Genomic DNA, 24,343 nt, shown 5'->3' on the forward strand with positions numbered 1-24,343 from the left:
CTGCAGTAGGGAGACCAGTCAGGAGCCTGCTTTTCTAATCTCAGTGAGAGGCAGAGATGAGTTCATAGGTATTGGCAAAGAAGATGGAGAGAAGTAGACAGCCTTCAGAGATAGTTTCTATAAAACAAGGCAGTACTTGATGAGGAGAGGAGTTTGAATAGCCTCATCCATGTGGGGGTGTCACTAAGAAGTTTGAAATGCAATCTGAAATTCACTAGATCCTCCTGAGTTGGAGACGCAGCGTTGGGAGTAATCACATGTAGGTGTCAGTGTAGCATGGGACTTAAATCTCTGCTTCAGGAGTCACAGGTCTGGGCTGAGCAAGTCCTAGCTATCCATTTATTGTGTGATGTTGGATGAATTACTTAACCTTTCCAAGGAGGGTATTTTTAATATGGATGGCAAACAGGGCTTCTCTGAGGAAGTGATATATGAGTAAAGACTTGGAGCAGGGGAGTGGCATCATCTCATTGACATTTTTGAAAGATCACAGTACTGCTTTGTAAAAAATCGATAGTAGAAAAGGAAGACAAACAGAAAGAATGACTGGGAGGCTGTGGAAGTCATTCAGACATGTACAAAGAGTAGCTTGTGTACATCAAAGGACACTATCAAGAAAGTGAAAGACAACCTATAGAATGCCAGAAAATATTTGCAAATAACTGATAAGGAATTAATATCCTGAATATATAAAGAACTCCTACAGGTCAACAACAACAACAACACAAATCCCACTTCAAAAATGGCTGAAGGACTTAAATAGACATTTATCTGAAGAAGATACACAAATGACCAAAAAGTACATGAAAAGATCCTCAACATTACTAGTCATTAAGAAAATGCAAATCACAACCACTATGAAATATCACTTATGCTCATTAGGATGGTTATTATTAAAAAAAAAAACAAAACAGAAAATAACAAGTGTTGATGAGAATGTGAAGAAATTGAAACCCCTGTACATTGCTGATGAGCCTGTAAAATGGTGCAGTTGCTATGGAGAACAGTAATGTGGTTCCTCAAAAAATTAAAAATAGAATTACCATTTCTATTAATTATTTTGCATATCCAGCTAGAAGCGGAATCGCTTCTAGCTGGATATGCAAAATAATTAAAAGCAGAGATTTGAACAGTGATATTTGTATAACAATTGTTCATAGCAACATTAGTCACAATAGCCAAAAGGTGGAAATGACCCAAATGTTTATCAACAGATGAATGAATAAACAAAATATGGTATATACATACAATGAAGCATTATTCAGCCTTAAAGAGGAATGAAATTCTGATGCATGCTACAACATGAACAAATCTTAAAACATTATGCTAAGTGATATAAAAGACACAAAAGAACCAATATTGTATGATTCCACTTGTATGAGTTGCCTAGAATAGGAAAACTCATAGAGACAGAAAGTAGAATCGAGCTTATCAGGGGGTGGAGAAAGAGTGGAAGAAGGTTGTTATTGTTTAAAGGGTTCAGAGTTTTCATTTGGGATGATAAAAAAAAAGTTCTGGAAATGGATAGTGGTGACGGCTATGCAATAGTGTAACTGTACTTAATGCTGCTGAATCGTACAGTGCCACGTTTTCTGAAATGGGAAGCAAATTAATTGATTTATCTAATAGTATTCAGTGTTTTCTTAGGACTTTGTCAAGCATTTGATAACTTTTGAACCCATCTTTTTTCATGGACTCAAAACTCATAGTTCTCAAGCTCAGACTCTTACATCAAATACCTTAATAAATATTTAGCAGTCTAGTTACTCAATTTCAGATACCAATTAAAATTTTAATTGCTGAATTAGCCTTTTGTAGTTCCTTTGTGCGGGGGAGAGCATATTTTGAAATAGTACTCTTTTTTTGTAAATTACCTTCCAGGTGCTGTTAAGTTTTCTTTAGTGAAGATGTCTATACCAGAGGGAGCATAGTTCCAGATGATTTCCTCAGCGGCAATGTAGTAGTGTCTAACATGCTTCCCACGGATATTATCCTTTGATGAAGACTTGTTACACTCCTGGACCTGGAAAAAGGCTTGCAAACCGGCTGAAATGAAACAGAAAGAGGCATTGATTAATGAAGACAATGTTTCTCTCTCCTATTGCCCTGTAAACACTGCTCGGGTGATGACAAGTAGAAATTGAAGGAATAGACAGATAGCAACAGTACTATAAACTAGGGCAGACAGCTGTAAATAAATTAATGATGGAAAACTCAAGTTTAAAACAGATATACTTTGTTTTTTATGTACATACAGCATAGAGATATTAAGCATATATGTTTTCAAAATATGGTACCAGTTTCTGTGGGGTTTCACTTGGTAGTTCTTTCAATGAGAGAAAAAGAACAAATCTGTAGATAAGCAGAGAAGAGAGGCTTTGACATATTTTAAGGGGTTGCATTGGGTGGAGGAGGAGGTACAAGGAGGAGGTACCAAATGAGCTTATATTATTGCTGTCTTGTACAAGATGGTTGTGCATCTGCTGTGCTGGGCCTTCTGTGGCCCAGAGCATATTTGATAAAAGCAATTATATTTGCACGTCAAAGTAAAATATCTGAACTCCTATGTTAAACTTAATTTATTCAGTAGACCAATATTAAAAACTAATATTTTTCAAGAACAAGGAATGTTTTTATTGCCTAAGTTAAAGAGATAAAGGAAGGATTTATCGAGTTAAACTAAGGGATGGCCAGGCTCAAATAAAGAACAAAGTTAATTATACTTGACAGAAATAAGTCGAAAAACAGGGTGCTTTCCAGTGCAACATACAATTTTTCTGGATGTTACAACACTGGTATATTTTACAAAGCTGAGTAAGTATATATAGTACTATACTTTCAGGGCCAGTTGTTCTTTCCAAAAACTAATATATTTTCAAATTTCATTACTTTATAATATTCCTGTCTTACAGTCTTTTTTTATTACATTATTATATATACCATCATAGGGATAAAACTAAGATGCCAGTTCAAAGCTCAGATTATTTCAAAGATATTTAGCTTTTAGATTCTGATTCCCAGTAACCACCTTTTTCAGCTGACTGCTAATTTCAGGTAAAGATGTCCTACCTTTCAGATGGTTTAGATTCTGACAGCTGAGCATCCATTCTCCAGGGTTCTGGGCCACCATATAAGCATCAAACAGGGTAGCAGGAAAGAGGTTGATTGTGTCAATACGGTAGTTCTTGTTAGTCAGTGCTTGCCCGTGAAAGAAAGCTGCGTGCACATCAACTTCATTACCCATACCAAAAAGGTACCATTTTACTCTGTCTTCAGCACACATGGAGAGTCCTGGGAGACTTCCAAAAGTGTATCCATTCACAGCTGTAAGTCAAGAGCAGAGTTTGTGACTAAGAGTCATTAATGCTTGAGATAGTGAGAGTTACCTCTATATAAATAGAATCAATTTGGAATGGCAAATATCTGGCACACATGCTGGTATTCTTGCCCCCTATACTCATGTCAGACATTGCTAATCAATCACAGCACTCTTTCATTTTGGAACTGAATTCAGCCTGAGGATTCTTATCAATACCATATTAACAGATGAACACAATACTGAAGATAAAACCTATTTGCTGTCTTTGTTATAAACTGTACACATTGTGTGTGTGTGTAAATACAGAGGTGTGCATATATACATACATATAAACAAAACACACATAGAATTAATAGAAAAAAGATTGAATATTAGTATTCAATCAGTTATTCATCATGTTGGTAGTATGGATGTTTTTGCTTGTCAGAAAATTTCCAATTTTCTACCATAAATTTATTTTGTAAAAAGTACATAAGAATAGCTTTTTTTTAAAGATTGCAAGACAAAATTTTTAAGATTGGAAGAGATATGAAGGAGGGAAAAAATGTAGAAGGGCAGCAGGGACAGAGCCACAAAGACCTAAAAGTTCATAGGCAAGGTGGCCTGAAACCCTCAGAAGAAACTTATGGTCACTGTTCAAACTGGGTGGCCCTAAAAATTTCCCAAGTGGAAATTAGTTCTGGGAAGAATCCTGAGTGCACCACATGTAACACTGGTACCAAATCAAACCTGCTCAGGCTAGAATTTTGAGTATCTTTTTATAACAACTATTTTTGTTAGTACACAACAGAGACAGGATTAAAGTATGGAAAGAGGACCTTCCACCCAGATATAAGTAAAAGTTGGAAACAAAATCTGTACTTTGTTAACTAGTTTATTTTTCTACTTTGGTAGTATCGTTATTTTTGTGCTCTCGGTTTCTGAGTACAGGTTATTTTGAAGAAGTTAAACACAAACAAATAAACGAAAATATCTACTTATTGGTCTAGTTGTTGTTAAGGGACTCTGTTTCTCATGCAAATTATGAGAAATAGATAATCTTACTAAGCTCATTATTTTGTGTCTGAGAATTAAGAAAAAGTCTAAACTGTAAAAAAAGCATTTCTAGAAAAGTAAAGTGAACTGAAATGTAGAAACGAATGATGCAGACTAAGGGGCCCAGTGAGGGCAACATAGTATGTAAAACGAATACCTTTCAGAACTCGTGGTTTGAACTATTTTCTTAAATATAGTTAGATGCTTTAAAATATAATATGGTTTTAAGCATTTAGTTTAATAATTTGGAGCTGCCTCAAATAATTTTTAGAATGAGTCTAGTGGATAAATAAATATATTAATGTCACATACATATGCATTAAACCATAATTGATGCTTTATCCTTACCAGTTGGGGAACAAGTTTGGTGTATCTGGCTTTACCTGGCTTAGAGTTTTTATTCTGACTTACTTAGCTGAATATCAAATTGCACATCCAATATGCTTTGTTATAAGGACCACAGACTAGACACACAGTACTTATTTATGTGAGGGAATAAGCTTAGCAGAATTAATGGATCAAGGGAAAAAAAAGTAAAGTTAACATGTCTGCTGTAATCTTACAATACATTCTGTTACTCTCCTGGAAGTCTTCGTTGTCTTTGTCAACTTTCTCTGGTTCTGAGCAGTAGGTTTTAATGTTGTCTTCTAGGTACCAGCTGAAATTTTCATCCACCACAGAAAACATCACCACAAATTCTCGGTCAATATGTTTTTCTTTTTCTTTATCTAGAGAATCTGGAGTTAAAGTTACTATTTTAGCAAGACTAAACTTTTAGCATGTATTTTGATTTATGTTTTCAGGTGATTTATAGTTTTTAAAAATGTTAGTATTTATTTTTTCGAATAAATCACAAGTCTGGACCAGTCACTCCTGTTTTACAGACAGAAACACTCAGGGAATTTTTATGATCAGTATCTGGTGCTTGGAAGACACTCCTGTGTCTGGATGTCCACTGACCACATAACTATTAAATGCTTTTTGGCAAATGGGAAGATTGGAATTCAAAGTTGTGCGTCTATTTTCTGGTGCATATAGCCACAAACAGAGACAAGTCTTTACAGGTAACGATTGTTCAAGTTAGAATTGTATTTCAGGCTCTTGAGCTCCGTTGTCTTTTTCATGATGTTAGAAATAAATACTATGATATTATGTTTACCAATATAGTATGAGTAACTACAGATCTATCACCGTGGAGTGCCCTTTTGGTAGTCACATTTGGTAAAGTCATATGTCTCTTCAGCACCACTGTTGGAAGTTAGATACAGCAAACTGAACCCTGAGAGAATATATTTCTTTCACATTACCTTCATTGGCATTTTCCCCGTAGGAATGCTTGTTCTATTTATCCCTTCTTCTCCTAGTCCTGCCTGGCTCTTCCCTTCCTTTTTTTCTACTTACCACCTCTCTACCTTACCTGCTCAATCTCAGCACAGAAGACTTGATTTCTTTTTAAAAGACAAACTGCCCTGCCCCTGTCTTTTGGTCATATAGCATGTGCAATAAGGAGAAGATGTACCTTTTTTACAGATTATTAAAGGTCCGATGAGTCCTGAGGCAATATCTTTTGGAGCATCAATGTGGGAATGGTAAATCCTAGTCACACAATTGCCATCTCCTTCCCCAGGACTTTGTTCTTCAGTGGCAAGCAACATGTATGTATACTGCTCTCCTGGATATACTTTGTCATCTGCTCTTTGAAAATCTGTGGTGTTATCAGGGTAGATGGCCCCTAGGAAGCAACATGCAATGAAGGTGCAAAGTGAATGTGTTTGAACTTAAATGAGAGAATAGATAGTCCATTAATTCATTCAGCAAACATTTATTAAACATCTACTATGTGATCCTTGGGGATGTGTTATCCTATTTGGACACAGGAAAATGAAAGGCTAATGGCTAGGGTGTGTAGAAGCTTCACAGACATTTTTATTATTTTTTTATATTTGATTGGGTTTTCAGAGAGCATAATGACTTTTTGTTTGCAATGTAAAGAACTCGGGTCATGGTATGGGAGTCTGAGCAAAAAGGCTACCCTCTTCTAAATTCAAAACTTCTTATATGATCTCAGATTTTTGCCCACGAAGTAACCATAAAATTAAAAACATTTCTACTCTCAATTTTGGAAATTTCCAAACACACACAAAGGTTGAGAGAAGAAAATGCTGAACCTCTGTGTACCCATCAAACCAGCTTTAACAATGATCGACTCAAGGCCAACCTTGTTTCATCTGTACCCCCACACACTCTTATCCCCAGTATCATCAAATTATTTTAAAGCACGTCTCAGACATCATATTCCATTCATAAATACTTGAGTATGTATCTCTAAAAGATAGGAACCCTTTTTTTCTTCTAACAAAACCACAGTTCCATTACCATACCTTTAAAATGAATGGTAATTCCCTAGTAAGCCATGAAATCATTAAAAAGAAATAGGATGGCAGTCAGCCTTTTATGCTATGAATGTAATTTATCCCTAAACAACAACAAAAACAAAAAAAGTCAACACATTCACTTTCTAAACCAATATCTCTTTTAATAAGACAACTAATAATGAATCAAATCTAATTTTAAATTAATTTCCCTATTCGATCATTATAATTTCAATGAACTGTAGCATGACTTCAGCATTTTTGCTTATGATAGCAGCTGATAGTTATTGAGGTATTACTATGTATTCTTATTATCTCTATTTTATAGATGAGGAAACTGAAGCTGAAAGAACTTAAGTAATTTGTCCAAGGTCACTCAAACAGTGAAAGGCAAGGCTGGGGCTCAGACCTTTGTCTATTAATTTCAAAGCCCTTGCTTTTCATCACTACAAAATACCACCTTTTTTACCATCATTGTTAAGGACTAAGAATGAGATCACAGGCACCAAACCTTATCTTTGTTTTTCAGGTACTATTTTCAAGGCTTCCAAGTCCTACATTCAAATGACTTTTTCAGTTAATTGTGTCTCATATGTGACTACAGTCATCCAGGCATATGTACCATTTGACTGACATGAGACTACTTATGCCACCTTAGCTGGGGCAGAGTTTATATAAAGTTAGGATGGGAGGTAACAACAGCACAGTATGTTTACATGTAGGAACTTCAAAGATAAGGCAATCCACATCTTGAGTCCTTCTTTCTCTTCCCTCTGGATTTTGCCTCTTCTAGGCTCTGATGCACTTTGTCCATTTCTCTTATTCTATTTGGCCAGAAAGGACTGGGCTCTGGGAAAGAAGCTCCAGCTCTCTCTGACTCTCACTGAGTCCACCTAGAAATTCTCTCACATTCACACTTTCCACGAAAGAGCACAACCAAGAGAAACATGCCATTATTATATGGAAACAAAGTACCTATTAATAAAATAGTTGGCCGGGTGCAGTGACTCACGCCTGTAATCCCAGCACTTTGGGAGGCTGAGGCGGGCAGATCAGGAGGTCAGGAGATCAAGACCATCCTGGCTAACACGGTGAAACCCCGTCTCTACTAAAAATGCAAAAAAAAAATAAAAATAAAAAAGTTTGCCAGGCATGGTAGTGGGCGCCTGTAGTCCCAGCTACTCGGGAGGCTGAGGCAGGAGAATGGCTTGAACCCCGGATGCGGTGCTTGCAGTGATCCGAGGTCGTGCCACTGCACTCCAGCCTGGGTGACAGAAGTCAAAAAAAATTAAAAAAAAATAAAAAAAAAATAGTTAAGAGCTGAATGGCAGTTATATGTCTTATCCAGGAGAGAAGTCCACAATTTTAGAAGCTAAAAGGCACTTCTACTGAAAAGTAAGAGGAAATTCCAGCTACATGAGCTGAACTTACCCTCATGTTCCTTATAGTAAGTTATTCCATGTGAATGAAAGGTGTAGGGCCTAGAGGCAAGGTTTTTTAAGTGTACATAAACTTTATCTCCAGTTTCAGCTTTGATAATAGGGCCTAAAAACCCAAGCCAGACCGGTTTTTCTATAGTTGTCCTAAAGGTTTCATCTGTGTACTGAAGATAAAGGGCCTTCTTATATAGTCTCCCAATTCTATCTGGGCCATTTTGAAGATAGATATTGGAATGTTCCCTGCAAAGAAAAACAAGACAACTCTATCAGAAGCCATCATTTCTAGGGATGACATTATCATTATAATTTAATAACATTATAATTAGAGAAATTAATGAGCACATCACATTGAATGTTTGCCTGTTGTAGGGATGCCTCCAAAATTGAAGTGGAGGGCTGGTAGTTAGCCCTGTTATTTTAATGATGTGAGGCTTTCCATATCAGGTATATGTCAGAGAACCATCTGCGAAGGCATCATAGAAATGTAGTGCATCTTACTGAAGTATTTTCTCCATGATTTTTATATTAAGACACAGGCATATTATGTAATGGAATAGAATACAAAATTAAGTTGAAATATTAAAATAAAGCAGTTAATTAAGACATTTTTTCACTTCTACCTCTCTTAGCTACTGGAAAAATTTGAGTTTATAATTAATCAATCTGGATATTTGAGACTTCAAAGTATGTGTGTGTATATTTATATATTTTTTTCCTTAAAGTAAGATTAATAAAGCTAAATTAATTCTTTTATATTTCTTTTAACAGCACTAAATCAAAGCTAGAGTTGTTGATGCATGCAATGTGTGTGGTTTTTAAATTACTTTTGAATTTAAATAATCCCTGTGTTTTTTAATCCCTCACTAGTACAGATACTTAACATTGAATGTTTGTATTCTAGTGAATGTCCATTAATAGTTGCTTAAAACTTTCTTTAAAATATCAGTGAGGTAAATAGCAATCTGGAAAAGAAAAGATGGAAAGAAAGTAAATTTGGTTTGAATTAATTTCTTGTGTTATCAACCTTAACTGAAGGCTTATATAGCCCAGTGGGATCTATTCATGGGCAACATCATGTTGCCATTTGGCAGGACCCACTTAGATTCTGGCCTTTGGCAAGCCCCTCCACAACCAAGGCTCTTCCATTTGAATAAAAACTGCTCATCATCATGGGTGTGTGTGTGTGTGTGTGTGTGTGTGTGTGTGTGTGTGTGTTGCCTTCTTTCATCTTATTGATCTTTGATACTTTACCAATTTCTACTCAACATTTGTGGGGCCGAGTAATCTGACTGAGGAATAAGTTTTGTCTTGTTTCCTCAGTTGTAAGCTCACTGGTAAAAGTGAGATATATTTTTCTTTCCCTTCTTTAAGACAAGAGCAGAGCTTGTGTGAGAGCTCTGGACTTTCACTGCTACAGAATTTAAAGATGTGGTTTTTCAAAAGTCTAAGGCCTGATGTTTCTTAAGTCTGAATATGCACAGGAATCTACTGATGAACTTAGTGAAATGCAAACTCCTGGGACACAACTCCATTGATTCTGATTCTGTGGGTCTGGGGCAGGGCCCAGGTATCTGCATTATTAACCAACACACTGGTGTGTTTTGATGAGATAGTCTGCTCTGGGGCCCTGGGTAACCTGTGTTGAAGAGGCTCTAAGGTTGAAGATTAAGAGAGCTGCCCAATCCCAGAAGCAGTGGGATTCCTGATACCATGAGACAGAAAGGTAGAAAACTCGGTTTCCAGGTCATACCTGGAAGTGGCAGGACCTCTGCGGTGGAGGCTATATAGATTAAGCCTGAGTGCTGGGGCCAGGTACCATGGCCACTTGGCAATGGTCCTGGTGGCTGAGTTTGGGCAGAGTGAGCAGGTGTTGAAAATAAGAGTCACCATTCTCTGGATTGATCAAGGAATTTCTATGATGAGCGTTTCCTCCTAGTCACTACCATATACCAATACACTGGGAATACCAATTTTCCTGAATTGTATAAACCCGAATTCCCAAAGAAGATAAAATTATTCACTAAAAAAATGACTGAGATGATGTTTCCCTGTCCATCCCCTGTCCTGGTGGGAGGGCTAAGCTAGAAGTTAGAAAAATAAAGTGTCATTATTTGCAGCCTGTGTGGAGCAGCAAAACTGTGAGTATACCCTCATTTTTTCTATTTGTTTTCACTTTCTAATTGTTTGTTGCCATTTCCCAATTTGTTAAAGCAAAATAGGAAAAGATTGGGAGAGACTTCATGGACACAGGTAGGCATGGGAAAAGGGCAAGACACTGGGGTGAACTCTGTCCCTAAACCCATAGCAAGGAATGCACAGAAAGAGTCTTAATAAATATATGTCTTAACAACAGCAAAATTGTTGCATCAAAGACTACTAAGTTTAAAAGCAGAGAGTCATTCAGTCCATATGACTGAGAGGAGGTCAATAAGAGTGCAATTTCAGTTAGGTACACAACTGCAGCTGCAAAGTCTACAGTACAAAGGTACAATTCCACTCTGGTCCCACCGGAACCCTGGACCAATCAATCTCACAGAGACTTGTCTAAGCCCCAGGGTAAATTTTCTTAAGAGTCTGAACACACTTTTATTTCTGAGAGATTGATTTGATAATATTTGGAGACTTTACTCCATGCTTTACCATGTCCTATTGGTACACATCTTACATAGGCCAAAGTTAAAAGTTAGCCCTCAAATTCTTAAGGCTTCATTTAAATAAAATGTTTCTTTATATTTTCTGAATGTAAATACACTTTGGCATACATCATGTCCTATTTTGATAAACTATAGCAGGCTTTGTCAAAATGATTTTATTGCATTGAAATGCTCCTGTATTAATCATTTCCTAAAATAGGAAGAGCATTGCCATAAACAAATACCTAAGACCAAGACCAAGACCTATATTGCCTAGGCTTTGTAACTAATTTTTCTAGGCAAAGTTTTTTGGGGGGGTTAAAATTGCTTTTAAAATTATTGATCTGAAGGTATAACATATCTAGGCGTTTTAACATCTGAAATTCCTTTTATACACATTGCAATATGCAAACTGCTTTTTGCATCTTGCCTTTTATTGTGAAAAAAACTGTCTTAACCAAACTGGAAAATATTTTACACTGTGTGACACTTTGGGAGAAGTCTATTTGTTTATGCTTTGTCTCCAAATAAACATTAAAAGGTCATTAGGGGCTCTCTATTTAATTTCGACAGCACAGCTTGAGGACAAAGGGCCAGTTACTGGAAGCTTGCAGGAAGTTTGCCAGTTAGATATTCAGCCACAAGAATCTATTATAGCTGTTCTTTCAACCAAATAATTCACATTTAATTGTAGTTCTTCCTGTTGACAACTGTAGTATGTTCCTTTCTACTCATTACTGTAGACATATCTCCCTTCAAGTAATCAATCACATTCTCTCTTTTTAGCCCCTTATTTAAAAAAAGAAAAGCCCGCTCCTATAATTTCTGGTAGTCTTAGACCCAGAAATGAGTTTTTAATAGTAGCATAACTATTTTTTAGTATTGCTTTGGTAAGATATTAATAATGCTATTCCCTCCCATAAATTTAGAATTCACTCAAGTGATCTTGGTTTATGCTTAGACGTGGTTCCCAAAACTTGGGTATTATAGGTGAAAAGTTTCTGGATTTTTGACTTCATTAATTGAGACATATATTTTTTATTGCTGCATAACAAATTATCACAAAGTAGGTTAAAACAACACCCATTTATAATCTCACTATTCTATGGGTCAGAGTCTGGCATGGTGTGGCTGGGTTCACTGCCTCAGGCATCACCAAGCTGAAATCAAGGGGCTGCTGAGCTGAGTACTTATCTGAGGCTCTGTGGAGAAATCTGCCTAGCTCATTTGGGTTATTGCCAGAATTCAGTTCAGTGGGGTCATAGAATTAAAATCCTTGTTTGCTTGCTGGCTATGGGCCGAGAGCCTCTCCCAGTTTCTTAAGGTCACCCGTATGCCCTCCTAGGTGGCCCCTTTCATCTTCAAGTCAGCTTCAGTGTGTGGACTCTTCAGATAATCTCACTGACTAAAACATAAATCATGAGAGTGATGTCTCATCCTGTTCACAGGTTCTGGAGATTTAGGATAGGATTTCTTCTGGGAGCCACTTTGGAAATGCTGCCTACCATAAACAAGAATCATAAGGAAAACAGTCAAAAATTAACTGCTGCAAGAATATGGCAGAGACTCAACCTAGGTATATATAACACAAATTCAAGTGATTTGCCGGTTCTAACCAGCCTTCCTCCACTGGCGCAGCATGAATGCAGTACCTAGTGAATTTTCTTTTGTCTGTGTTCTCAGGAGAAATAGGAACTTGATAATAAATGGAATTTGGTCAGTGTGAAATGTTAGTCACTTAATTAGCTCTTCCATACAAGCTGTCTTGTGTGAAGTGTTTGGAAGTGTACTGCACTAGCTATTGCTTGCTTTTTTTTTTTTTTTTTTGAGATGGAATCTTGCTCTGTCGCCCAGGCTATAATGTAACGGCGTGATCTCGGCTCACTGCAACCTCCACCTCCTGGGTTCAAGCAACTCTCCTGCCTTGGCCTCCTGAGTAGCTGGGACTACAGGCGCACGCCACCACACCTAGCTAATTTTTGTATTTTTAGTAGAGACGGGATTTCACCATGTTGGCCAGGCTGGTCTCAAACTCCTGACCTTGTGATCCACCTGCCTTGGCCTCCCAAAGTGCTGGGATTACAGGTGTGAGCCACCACGCCCAGCCCTATTGCTTGCTATTTTTTATTTGGCAACCTTGGAGAATGAGTCATTTAAAGTAAATTTTCCAGAAAATTTTAGCTAGTAATTGTACCTATTTAAGAATCATTTAAAAATTTAAAAATCATTTTTGAAGGGATGCTATATAACTTGGGAGGCCACTAGGCTGAGACAACATCAGCGCCTTGGGTTCCTACGTAAGCAAACCAAAACCCAATTCAATGTAGTAAACAGTAAAATGAAACTTCGAATCTGTAACTAGAGACTTTACCAATCAGAAGCCGCCAACTAACATCTAACTAGGGAGTCTCCACTTTAACCAGTCTAATATCTATTTCTTAGTCTGAGAATACGTTATAAAAGTTTCCTCCCTGCCCAGAGGAGCATTGACAGAACTGCTTGTGGTCTTAGGGCACCCAATTGCTGTGGCTGAATGCTTGAATAAACTTGTTAAACTTTCAATATGCCCAAGTTTATCTTTTAATAGGGGTAAAATGAATGTCATTAGTGCAAGCTTTTTCTTTAAAAATATTTTATTTGCTTCCCTGTTTTCCTAAACAGCGGATATAATGGAAAAAAAGTAACTTTTTTGATAACAATAGTGAAATGAACACTTATTGAATACTTATTATATCCTGATCACTCAAGATCATAATTATAGTAATTATGATTACCGTAAGGTGGAATGTTCTTTGTTGTCTAGTTTTTTGGTCAGGATTTGAGCTGTTATTTCTTCTTGGTCATTAGGCCTGCTTATAGTGACATCTTCACTGTACCATTTGTTTTGGAAACCTCTAATGGAATGAAAAACCCGGTAATAATGTTTGTAAGAACTGTATGTTAAGAAAGTTGCCAAGCCTGAGTGAGAGCCTATGAAGTCAAGTATAAAAGAGTTTTGTGATGGCCGTTCGTATACTTAAAAAAATTTTCACTTATTTCCAGCTTCCTAGAGGTCATCAGAAAAAAAAGTAATCTGAAGATAAGAGAATTACTATAATTTTTGCTATTATATAGTCAATTAATTCAGTAAATAATTAACTAATGCCTACTATGGACCCAGAACACACTATTGTGTTTACTAATTGTTTTTATATGTATGTCATTTATTTTAATTTGAATATATATAACTTAGGATCAGGAATTATCTCTTATAAAGTCTTTAACTACTTACTGATGTGTTGAAGTGACAGATAAGGCACTGACCCAAGTAAATAGCAGTACTGAGTATAAGGAAATTATTTTCCACTTCACTCTTTTAGAAATAAATATTATTGGCATTAATACCAGAGAAGTAAACTTTATTTTTTTAGTCCCCCCCAAAACCTATACATTTTTCTCTTTTAATATCTGCCAGTGTTTTCAGTTGCACTAACCCTGCATATAATCCCCTCAGGTGACTTTTCTATCTTATTCTGTTACCTGATTTGTTCTATAGCATGAATCTCTCCACATGAGGAGCAAGGAAAAGTTTTTACAATACAGTCTATGATTTTTCCTATCTTCCTATGTATCTTTTATTTACTCATTTAAACTTATTCAGAAATATTTATTTAGTGTCTCCTATATTCTAGGTACTAGTGACCAAGCACTAGTACTTGCATATGCATATACTAGTACTCTCAATGCATATTTTCCTGTTCATCATCCCAGACCTTCAAGATCAACATTCAGCTTAAACTCGATTCTTTACCTAAAATTCATATTACACTCTTTCACATCTTATTCTTCAGCCCATTTATTTCCACTCCTTTTTAGTCATCATACGATAAGAAGTGCCAACCATGTCTTGTGATACTCCATCATCCTTCACTGACTGGGCTAAACATGCTGCAAATCTGGGACAAAGAAGGGACCAAAAGGTTGCTATCTGCACACATCTATGCAAAAAGTTTAGCATAGTATTGGCAAAATTGCTGAAGCTGTATTCAAAATTCACTGGTAAGATATATGGGGGAAAAAAATCACAGAGAAAGCAGTCCCACCTAGAGTTTGCAAAACTGTAGCATATTGTTGAAGCCAGAGGAGATGTTAAAGTCACAGGACAATAACAAAAAGAGAGGTGGACTTTGCAACTAGAAGATGCTCCATTTTTCCTTTTAAGGAGCCTTAAGTATCTCTATTAAGTATACTTTTTAAGTAACTGATATGGTTTGGCTGTGTCCCCACCCAAATCTCACCTTGAATTGTAATAATCCCCACATGTCAAGGGAGGGGGCCAGGTGGAGGTAACTGAATCATGGATGTGGTTTCCCCCATATTGTTCTCATGGTAGTGAATAAGTCTCATGAGATCTGATGGTTTTATAAATGAGAGTTCCCCTGCACAAGCTCTTTCTTGGCTGCTGCCATGTAAGACGTGCCTTTGCTCCTCCTTTGCCTTCTGCCATGATTGTGAGGCCTTCCCAGCCATGTGGAACTGTAAGTTCATTAAACCTCTTTTTCTTTATAAATTACCCAGTCTTGAGTATGTCTTTATTAGCAGTGTAAGAACAGACTAATACAGTAAATTGGTACCTGGAGTGGGGCACTACTGTAAAGGTACCCAAAAATGTGAAAGTGACTTTGGAATTGGGTAGCAGGCAGAGGCTGGAATAGTTTGGAGGGCTCAGAAGAAGATAGCAAGATGTGGGAAAGTTTGGAACTTCCTAGAGACTTGGAGGGCTCAGATGACAGGAAGGTATGGGAAAGTTTGCAATGTAAGACATGCCTTTGCTCCTCCTTTGCCTTCCACCATGATTGTGAGGCCTCCCCAGTCATGTGGAACTGTGAGTCCATTAAACCTCTTTTTCTTTATAAATTACTCAGTCTTGAGTATGTCTCTATTAGCAGCATAAGAAGAGACTAATATAGTCACAATGGGGTAAACAGGCTTATACTCATTGGGTAGCTTCCCTGGCACAGACAGGCCACAGGAGTAATTAAAAACAAAGGAATTTCCTCCGCCCCCATTCACCAAATTCTAAACAAACTCCTTCACTCTTCTACTCCCTGATTTTTAGAATTAAAGATTTTTTTTTGAAGCATATTCAGGGCAATGTCTTGCACTTAGTTTATGCCTGATAAAGCTGATTTGATTTTTGATCACGAACAATGGCAGAGTGGTGGTGAGTGGGGGCATAGAGAAGGATAGTATTTTTATTTTTTTAATGTGTCTGACTTTTTCCTTGGAAATAAAAACCACATATAATTTATATTATATTTAATCAAGAAAATACTGAATCCATGCAAAATAATGTTTCTGGTGAAGCTGTAAAAATATGTCATATTCCTTAGAAGATAATACCACCTTAAAACCAGGTTAAAAAAGAAATAATTACAAGATGTATTAGTTTTATTTACAACCACTTATCTTCAGGTCAGAAACTTTCTTTATTGTATATTATTAAATTCATAATATAATAATTGGATATTAGTATCTGTTATGTATTTATTTTTATGGTGAAAAATTTCAACTTTACATAATGTTAAAGAAAATAGTATATACTCATCAATAAGATTCAATAATTACAAACTTCGGCATCCTTATTTAGCTGTTTTTTAAAGATATAATCTTGGCAGCTGATGGTCATTGGGCTTGTTTGTGTTTTATTACCACTGAAATACATTTTAATGTAGTGAATATTGATTTTGAATTCCAAGTTCCCATTTGGTGGTTAATGTTTAATTAACATCATTAAAAGTGAAGACCTCAGTATAGATAAACTTCTGTACAAAAAACTTCAAGGAGAACTAAACTTTTTGTTTTACTGTGTAGTGAATATTGCTTTCAATAAGGGGATTTTCCAACTGAAAAATGAAGACATTTAAGTTACATGGAGCTTTTTGAGGACCATCCTAATAAGTACCTGACATTTTTTTATGCACATATGTGCCAAGCATTGTACTAAGAGCTTTACATGCACCCGCTCTTTAAATAACCCTATGAGCTATGCTTATTATCCTCATTTTACAAATTAGGACCCTGAAGCTGTGAAAGATTAACCTACTTAACTGTCTGGAGTCTCTCAATAAATATCAGGCAGGATCTTATTTGCTAAAATTGTATTTTATTTCTATAAGTGATGTTTTGAAAGATATAAAAAAATTTTATGCCTATCATGAATAACCATTAAATGGTGCAATAAACATAACATTGTATACAGTAATTGTTTAAATGAAAGAACTTCTGCATAAACACATAAAAAGACAGATTCCTAATCGGAGATGCAGTTACGACCATGGGAGGTAGTAAGATGTGAACACAGATCCCCAGGAACAACAGGAAAGAAGCAGGGTAGTCCACCAAATAAAAAATATACAGGAATATAAAGGAGATTGATTCAAGTGTCTTGGGTTTCAAGCCCACATTTTGCAGTTTCTGTATATAAGAAATTTTAAAAATATTTCATCTTATTGGCTCTATCCTTTAAAAATAACTTAAAATTTTGGTCTATAAACAATAAAAATAGTGACTTACGTGTCAACAGAAATAAGTTTCTTTTCCCCATGGTCAGAGGCATAATCCCAAGTCGTTTCAATAATTCCAATGTAATAATGCTTTTCTTTCGCCCAGGCTGGGGTACTACATAAAAACAGAAAAATACCAAGTATCAAAATCTTCATTTTTTTCCCCTTCTTGGAGCCTGAGAAGAAATGAAGTAAAATCAGGAGCAGGCAATTTTATAAATAAGACTTTCTTCCTTATTTGCTTGATTGACACAATTTAGTGTTGCACAAGAGTAAATTGTTTCATTAAAGCAAATATTTTCCAATTCAGTTAAGTTCTCGTAAACCACCAAAAAAACAGTTCTTGGTTGCCAGGCTTCTCTGACTGAAAATAAAAAGTCAACAGTTATTGTTGGAGGCATTAGGGTGTGCATAACTCTGTGCCTTTTTCCATTCATTGTGTAAATTCCAGGAGGGCAGAGAACGTGTCTAAATGCTCCCTTTGTTCCTCTGACAATATGTCACAGCACAGTGTCCTGCAAACAGTGCACTTTTAGTAAATCAGGATAAGAATTATGTAAAATGAATCAAAACATGTAGCTTTTTACTACAGTCATTCTTAATGACAGGGATACGTTCTGAGAAATGCATTGTTAGGCTATTTTGTCATTGTGTGACTATCACAGAGTGTACTTACACAGACTTATATGATATAGCCTACTATACATCTAGGTAGGCTATATGGTATACCTATTGCTCCTAGGCTACAAACCTGTACAGTCTATAACTATGCTGAATGCTATAGACAATTGTAACACAATGATATTTCTGTATCTATACATATGCAAACATAGAAAATGTACAGTAAAAATATGTTATTATAATCTTATGGGACCACCATCACATATGCAGTTTGTCATTTACTCAAACATTATTATGTGGTGCATGACTATTTCTAAAAGTCTAACAAATGATTAATTGCAGCTTTATGATATGAAACATGATATCTAGCATGCCAAATTTAAGTAAACAAAAATAAGAATTTAATTTGGAAGAATTTATCTGTTTTATGAGCTTGGACCAAATCTGCATAAAAACTTTACCAGATCATTCTGTATTGCTATATGCAAATAACTAGCAGAGCCTAACAGGGGCTAATAACTTTGTTTTAATCATCAAATAAACAAACCATAACTAAACCTGTCTTCAGAGGCAAAGATTAGTCTTAGTAAATAGAAAGTACCCCAGTTTATCATTAGACTGAAATTTTTCTCTTTGAAGTGGATATGAATTTTAAGGTGGAAGACTTTTTCTTAAAACCCTGTTTTTAGTCAGGAAGTATATGTCTAAAAGTATGAAATGGCTTTTTTTTTTAGCTGAAGAAAATCCTGATAACAGTTGACACTTTGTGTTAGTATAATTTTTTTTCTCTCAAATACCTCAAAACGTTGTGTATTTGCTGAAGGCCACTTGTTGAAATAGATTGGTATAGAAGAAAGCATGCGATATTTGAACAATTCCTTCATTTAGGAAATATTATTGAATGAGCCAAGTTCTGTTCTACTCACTGGGAATACAGCAGTCTGTGCCAAGTTCTGTTCTACTCACTGGGAATACCGCAGAGAACAAAACACCTACCATCATGCAACTTACATTCTACTTGGGGAAACTGAAAATATAAAAATGAAAAATGAAATACACAATATTAGTGGTGAATGCTATGGAGAAAAATAAAGCAGAGAAGGAGAATAAGGAGTGCTAGGGAAAAATCTGATGCTACCAAATGACCTCAAGTAAGATACTTCAGCCCAGCTTCAGTTTCCTCATCTGAAAATCTCAGGTTAATTGAAATGACCTATGTTAAGGCAGACAGTGGAGGAGCTTCTCTCACCAGCTGGTAATAATCTTAACTAAATGGCTTGGTACAGAAAACTGAATCATGTTGCCCAGGATGCCCCAAGGCCTCCTTCTAGGACTGCCTTGAACAATTGTGCCGTCATGTCCACTGAGAGGACTGACGAAGGACTAAAATCTTGCTCAGATGCCACCGGCCATACCCTGTGCCTTGCAAGAAGCTGCTTTTCCCCTAATGGTCCACACAGACGGGGGGCATTTTTCAGCCGTTTATCCTCCCCAGGGCATGGAGAAGGGGGACAGTTCTTTTTCTAATTGGCATGAAGCCACGATGTGAACCAGCAACTGTCTCAGCCATTTGCTTTTCATTTTTCACTCAGTGCTCAAACTCAGCCCCAATCTTGTGCATGGAAAGATGTTGATCAGAGCACCGTAACCATGCCCAGAGTCACTTGTTTCAGCAAATTGTACCAACCAACCATCCAACAAACAAACCTGTTCAAATAGTTGCTGAGGGTTCCAGAATGTATGCATAGCACACCCCTCATATTGGTGGTGAAATGAAATGGTTAAACAGTAACACTGTGACCAGTGCCCTTGTGAACGTTTTATGGTGTAATGCAAAAAAGGTCATGCAGTCCGTATTTCTGTTCTGTTTTGTGGTAGTTACTCTTCTCATCAAAAGGCATGTGGCAGGAAGTGGGGAGAATTCTCTGAGCCTTAGGACTATTTAAATAGGAGGGAGAGGGGCCGGGCGGAGTGGCTCACGCCTGTAATCCCAGCACTTTGGGAGGCCGAGGCAGGTGGATCACGAGGTCAGGAGATGGAGACCATCCTGGCTAACACGGTGAGACCCCGACTCTACTAAAAATACAAAAAAAAAAAAAAAAAAAAAAAAATTAGCCAGGCGTGGTGGCGGGCACCTGTAGTCCCAGCTACTCGGGAGGCTGAGGCAGGAGAATGGCGTGAACCCGGAAGGTGGAACTTGCGGTGAGCCGAGATCGCGCCATTGCACTCTAGCCTGGGCGACAGAAGAAGACTCTGTCTCAAAAAATAAAAAATAAATAAATAATAAATAAATAAACAGTAAAAATAAACAGGAGGGAGAAGGCACTGGGAGCTAATAAGCTCAGCCATTGGCAGAGTCATTTTGCACTGCAAACTTCATTACAGTGATTCCAGAGATAGTACTTAAAAATGAACTTTGGATAATGTTCCAATTGAGAGTTTTCTGTACTCAAGAAATGTACCACAACAGCACAGACTGGGGTTAGACAAGAAGGAGCAGAGGGGCACCAGAAGAAGCCTAGGAAACTTAGAGCATTGCAAGAAAGAGAGGAATCTAGACTGCCAAACAGCCTGTCCTCTTAGCTGTGCTTGTCAAAAGGTTTTTACCTCAGAATCCCAGGGTATATCTTGGTTATAAACAACTAGTATATGTCTAAGTTAACAGCTTAGTAACCTGAGTACAGTTATGTAGCAGAAGTTTTAATCATTTTCCACATTTTCTTTTTTTGTCGTCTTAAGGATTTCTGGACTGGGTGAATCTTATCTGCATTTGGCAATCATGATTCTGAGACTGTGAGTGGCTAACGTCAAGGAAGCAGCCTCCTTTACAGAACAACCCTTCTGTTTATTTCTGTCTGGCAGGATGCAATCTCTCTTTACTGCCGCTATTCCTGTATATACCTTCTAGTTTCATTTTTTGCTGACCCTTGAGAACTGGCTCTTAACCCCTACTCCATGCCAACAGAATTATTAGGAAATCATCGAGAACTGTCCTTCACTTTGTGACAGCAGGAGACTCTAAGTACAAAATAGCAGGTCACTCTGACTATGACCAATCGGACAGATAACCACGCTGCTTTCTTTTTCACAGGAAATTGTGTAACTCTGGAATTTTAGAGGTGAGTGTGGTCACGTACAGACTTTGCTAATGAGTACACCGACTTGCCCTAGCACAGTGTGAGCATTGCTGATCCTATTCTCCCCTATCAGTCAGGTCATAACTGTTTAGGAAATGATCTCTCAGATAGTTCTTCAGTCATGCCACCATCCCCCTTTGGCTGCCCATTAATGGGTCACGGCCCTATTCATCAGCTCCTGGGATGTAAAATGGTCTCAGGCAAGGGAAGAGAGAAAGCCCAGACTCTAACATACAGAAAGCCTTAACATACAGTAGTACTATGGGAAAGAGACTTTAAAAAAAATGGCATAAGTATTTAGCTGAATCCTTCATGCTTGTTCTCTCACTACCTTGACTGTTATAGAAATCAAAGCATGTGATTTATCAAAAATGAAATAGAACCACAATAATATAATTATAATTTTTAAGAAGATTAAAGAACAACCCTTTTTAAAGGAATAACTTAATTCACTACTTTGACTACATAGAAATTTAATGCATGACTTTCTTGAAACGCTCTTCTCTCATAACACCCCTGGCCCATTTTCTCCTGTTTTGACACCATGTGAGGGTTATATACACTGCATAGCTCTCAACACTCTGATTTGTGTCCTGGTCTTAATTTACAAAAGGTGACTGCGTGACAATTCTGAGAGGCCAATGCCAATGAGAGAAAAGTTTACTGCTACTCATGATGGCGCCCCTGGAAGCAGAAGACACAGCACGCTATAGAGGGCCATGTGGGAAAGCACTGGAGTAGCTCCAGGCCGGGCTTGCCAGTCTCTCTGCACTCTGGAAGGAGTTTGCCTGGGTTGGGGTTGTCCCTTGGTAGATTCCAAACCTTCATTTTGTCAATTTACTTAAAGGTGACTGGGTTTAAAGGGGCTGACTGATTGTAAATAACTTGGAGAATAAATCAATATTCATTAATAAAGTTAAATAATTCACGTAAAATTAAAGTATAATAGGCATAATTTATATTATTGGTTTTTTTTTCAATTTAGGGGCATTCGCTCCTTCTTTATAGATTCACTCAGAAAATTGTATTATGGAACACAGTTTCATTCATAAGTATAGAGTTTGAGCGAAAGGGTAGATATTCTTTTCTGTAAATTAATTTTAATTTGTACTTTAAGTTCTAGGGTACATGTGCAGGATGTGCAGGTTTGTTACATAGGTAAACGTGTGCCATGGTGGTTTGCCGCACCTATCAACCCATCATCTAGGTATTAAGCCTAGCATGCATTAGCTATCTTTCCCAATGCTCTCCCTCCCCATCACCCCACCCCCCGACAGGCCCCAGTATGTGTTGTTCCCCTCCCTGTGCCCATGTGTTTTCTTGTTCAGCTCCCACTTATAAGTGAGAGCATGCGGTGCTTGTTTTTCTACTCCTGCATTAGTTTGCTGAGGATAATGGCTTCCAGTTCCATCCATGTCCCTGCAGAGGACATGATCTCGTATGCAAAAGGGAAGATACTGTTAAAGCATGTTTCTTTTCTTTTTTCTTTGACATTTTAAAAATTAACATGATTTCTGTCTAAATACTGGGTACTCATTATTAGAATAAGAGGACCTTCCAACAGCTGTGCAGGGGACATTCCATTGACACATTCTTAGTCTTTGACTCTCTTCTGTTAAGAATTCATACAGATTACTACCCTTCCATTCAAATCCATTTGCTAAATCATACTTTGCCCACCTGATAAGTCAAAGTTTGGAACTGTGTTCTTAAATGAATGAATGAATGAATTAAACATTATTCTTGGTGAAATTTGGGCAATATCTTTTGCTGTTTCTTAAAAAATGTTCTAGTTTTATCAGCATCTTTGAAAGTCTCAGACTTGAATGTTTCTATGGAAGGAGTTAGCTGCACCCATATTTCATAAGTTCTTCATAGTTTTAATATCAAATAATGAGGTATTATTGCTAATGTTGTCTGATGTTATAATAGCATTATTACTATATTAGTATTATTATTATTTTTTGAGACAGAGTCTTGCTCTGTCGCCAGGCTGGAGTGCAGTGGCATGATCTCAGTTCACTGCAGCCTCTGCCTCCTGGGTTCAAGTGATTCTCCAGCCTCAGCCTCCTGAGTAGCTGGGACTACAGGCATGCGCTACCACGCCTGGCTAAATTTTTTATTTTTAGTAGAGACGAGGTTTCACCATGTTGGCCAGGATGATCTCCATCTCTTGACCTCGTGATCCTCCTGCCTCAGCCTCCCAAAGTGCTGGAGTTACACCTGGCCACTATATTACTTTTTTAAAGGTTTTTTATGCCGGAGATACATATCGGAGTATTTTGGAGTGAAATGATATAATGTCAGGAATTTGCTTGATTACACTCCAGGTTTTCATGTACCGCCCACACAGCTAAGAAGCTAGAAAGTAAAAACATGAACTCTGTTGTTTAACCAAGCTCTGATTTCAAGTATTCTTACTTACTGTCTAAAGCAAAGGCTGTTAGCCAACCCACAAGACATTTCTAACCCAGTCTCCCTTGTTCCTTTCATGATAGAGGCTACAAAAGTTCTTTTCCAGTCTCCTTTGCAGTTAGGAGTAGCCAGATAATAATGGTTTTGACCAATAAGAAAAAGGCAGAAATTGGCTGTTGTCTCTTCAGATGTGACTGATACTCCCCCTTTTTCCATCTTCTCTGCCTTCAATGTGGATGTAACATGTGGAGCTGCAGCAACCATTTTGCAACCGTGAGGCAACAATTATGGGGAAAAGGCCAAGAGGGTTAAAGACACTGGCCCTCATGTCATCAAATTGCTAAGCCAGGCTGGGTACAGTGGCTCATGCCTGTAACCCCAGCACTTTGGGAGGCCGAGGTGGGTGGATCACTTGAGGCCAGGAGTTCAAGACCAGCCTGGCCAACAAGGTGAAACCCTGTCTCTACTAAAAATACAAAAATCAGCCAGATGTGGTGGTGCAGGCCTGTAGTCCCAGCTACTGGGGAGGCTAAGGCAGGAGAATTGCTTGAACCAGGGAGGTGGAGGTTACAGTGAGGCAAGATCGTGCCAATGCACTCCAGCCTGGGCAACAGAGTGAGATTCTGTCTTAAAATGTTGCTAAACCAATCCTAGCAGCCACTTATCTCCAAACTTTGTTTATGATATAAGACAAATAGCACTGATAATTCTCTCTTAGCTGGGTTTTCTGTTGCTTATAGAACACATCCTAACTGGTTAGTACTGCCAGATACAAGCTCAGAGCTTGAGTCCCCCCCCTTTTTTTTTTGTTCTGGAAAACTGAAAAT

General features: G+C 37.4%; 1 protein-coding gene and 1 long non-coding RNA gene across 10 annotated transcripts in view, besides 1 other annotated feature; one reads left to right on the forward strand and one right to left on the reverse strand.

Annotated features, from left to right (window-relative positions):
• Positions 1-17,536, reverse strand: part of CP (ceruloplasmin) — a 59,416-nt gene extending 41,880 nt beyond the window's left edge. For all 9 annotated transcript variants that reach the window (NR_046371.2, XR_427361.4, XM_006713499.4 and 6 more), the window contains exons 1-6: positions 17,354-17,536; positions 8,158-8,405; positions 5,874-6,086; positions 4,918-5,091; positions 3,070-3,324; positions 1,875-2,046 (exon numbers count right to left, since the gene is read on the reverse strand). Coding sequence is in view for 7 of the 9 variants with exons in the window: in XM_006713499.4 (XP_006713562.1) it covers positions 1,875-2,046; positions 3,070-3,324; positions 4,918-5,091; positions 5,874-6,086; positions 8,158-8,405; positions 17,354-17,499 (1,208 nt within the window). In the remaining 2 variants the exon portion in view is untranslated. The remainder of the gene's footprint in view (positions 1-1,874; positions 2,047-3,069; positions 3,325-4,917; positions 5,092-5,873; positions 6,087-8,157; positions 8,406-17,353) is intronic.
• LOC101927942 (uncharacterized) lies at positions 19,577-22,036 on the forward strand. The gene is made up of 4 exons (XR_241588.4): positions 19,577-20,023; positions 20,704-20,757; positions 21,056-21,083; positions 21,715-22,036. It is a non-coding gene; the product is annotated as an uncharacterized LOC101927942 (long non-coding RNA).
• Positions 20,930-20,999: an enhancer, noted in NCBI's record as "active region_20680". NCBI's record gives its function as "activates an Ori minimal core promoter by ATAC-STARR-seq in GM12878 lymphoblastoid cells {active_cell/tissue: GM12878}" and the evidence as "EXISTENCE:reporter gene assay evidence [ECO:0000049][PMID:35858748]".

Source organism: Homo sapiens, chromosome 3, assembly GCF_000001405.40.
Source record: "Homo sapiens chromosome 3, GRCh38.p14 Primary Assembly".
NCBI lineage: Eukaryota > Metazoa > Chordata > Mammalia > Primates > Hominidae > Homo > Homo sapiens.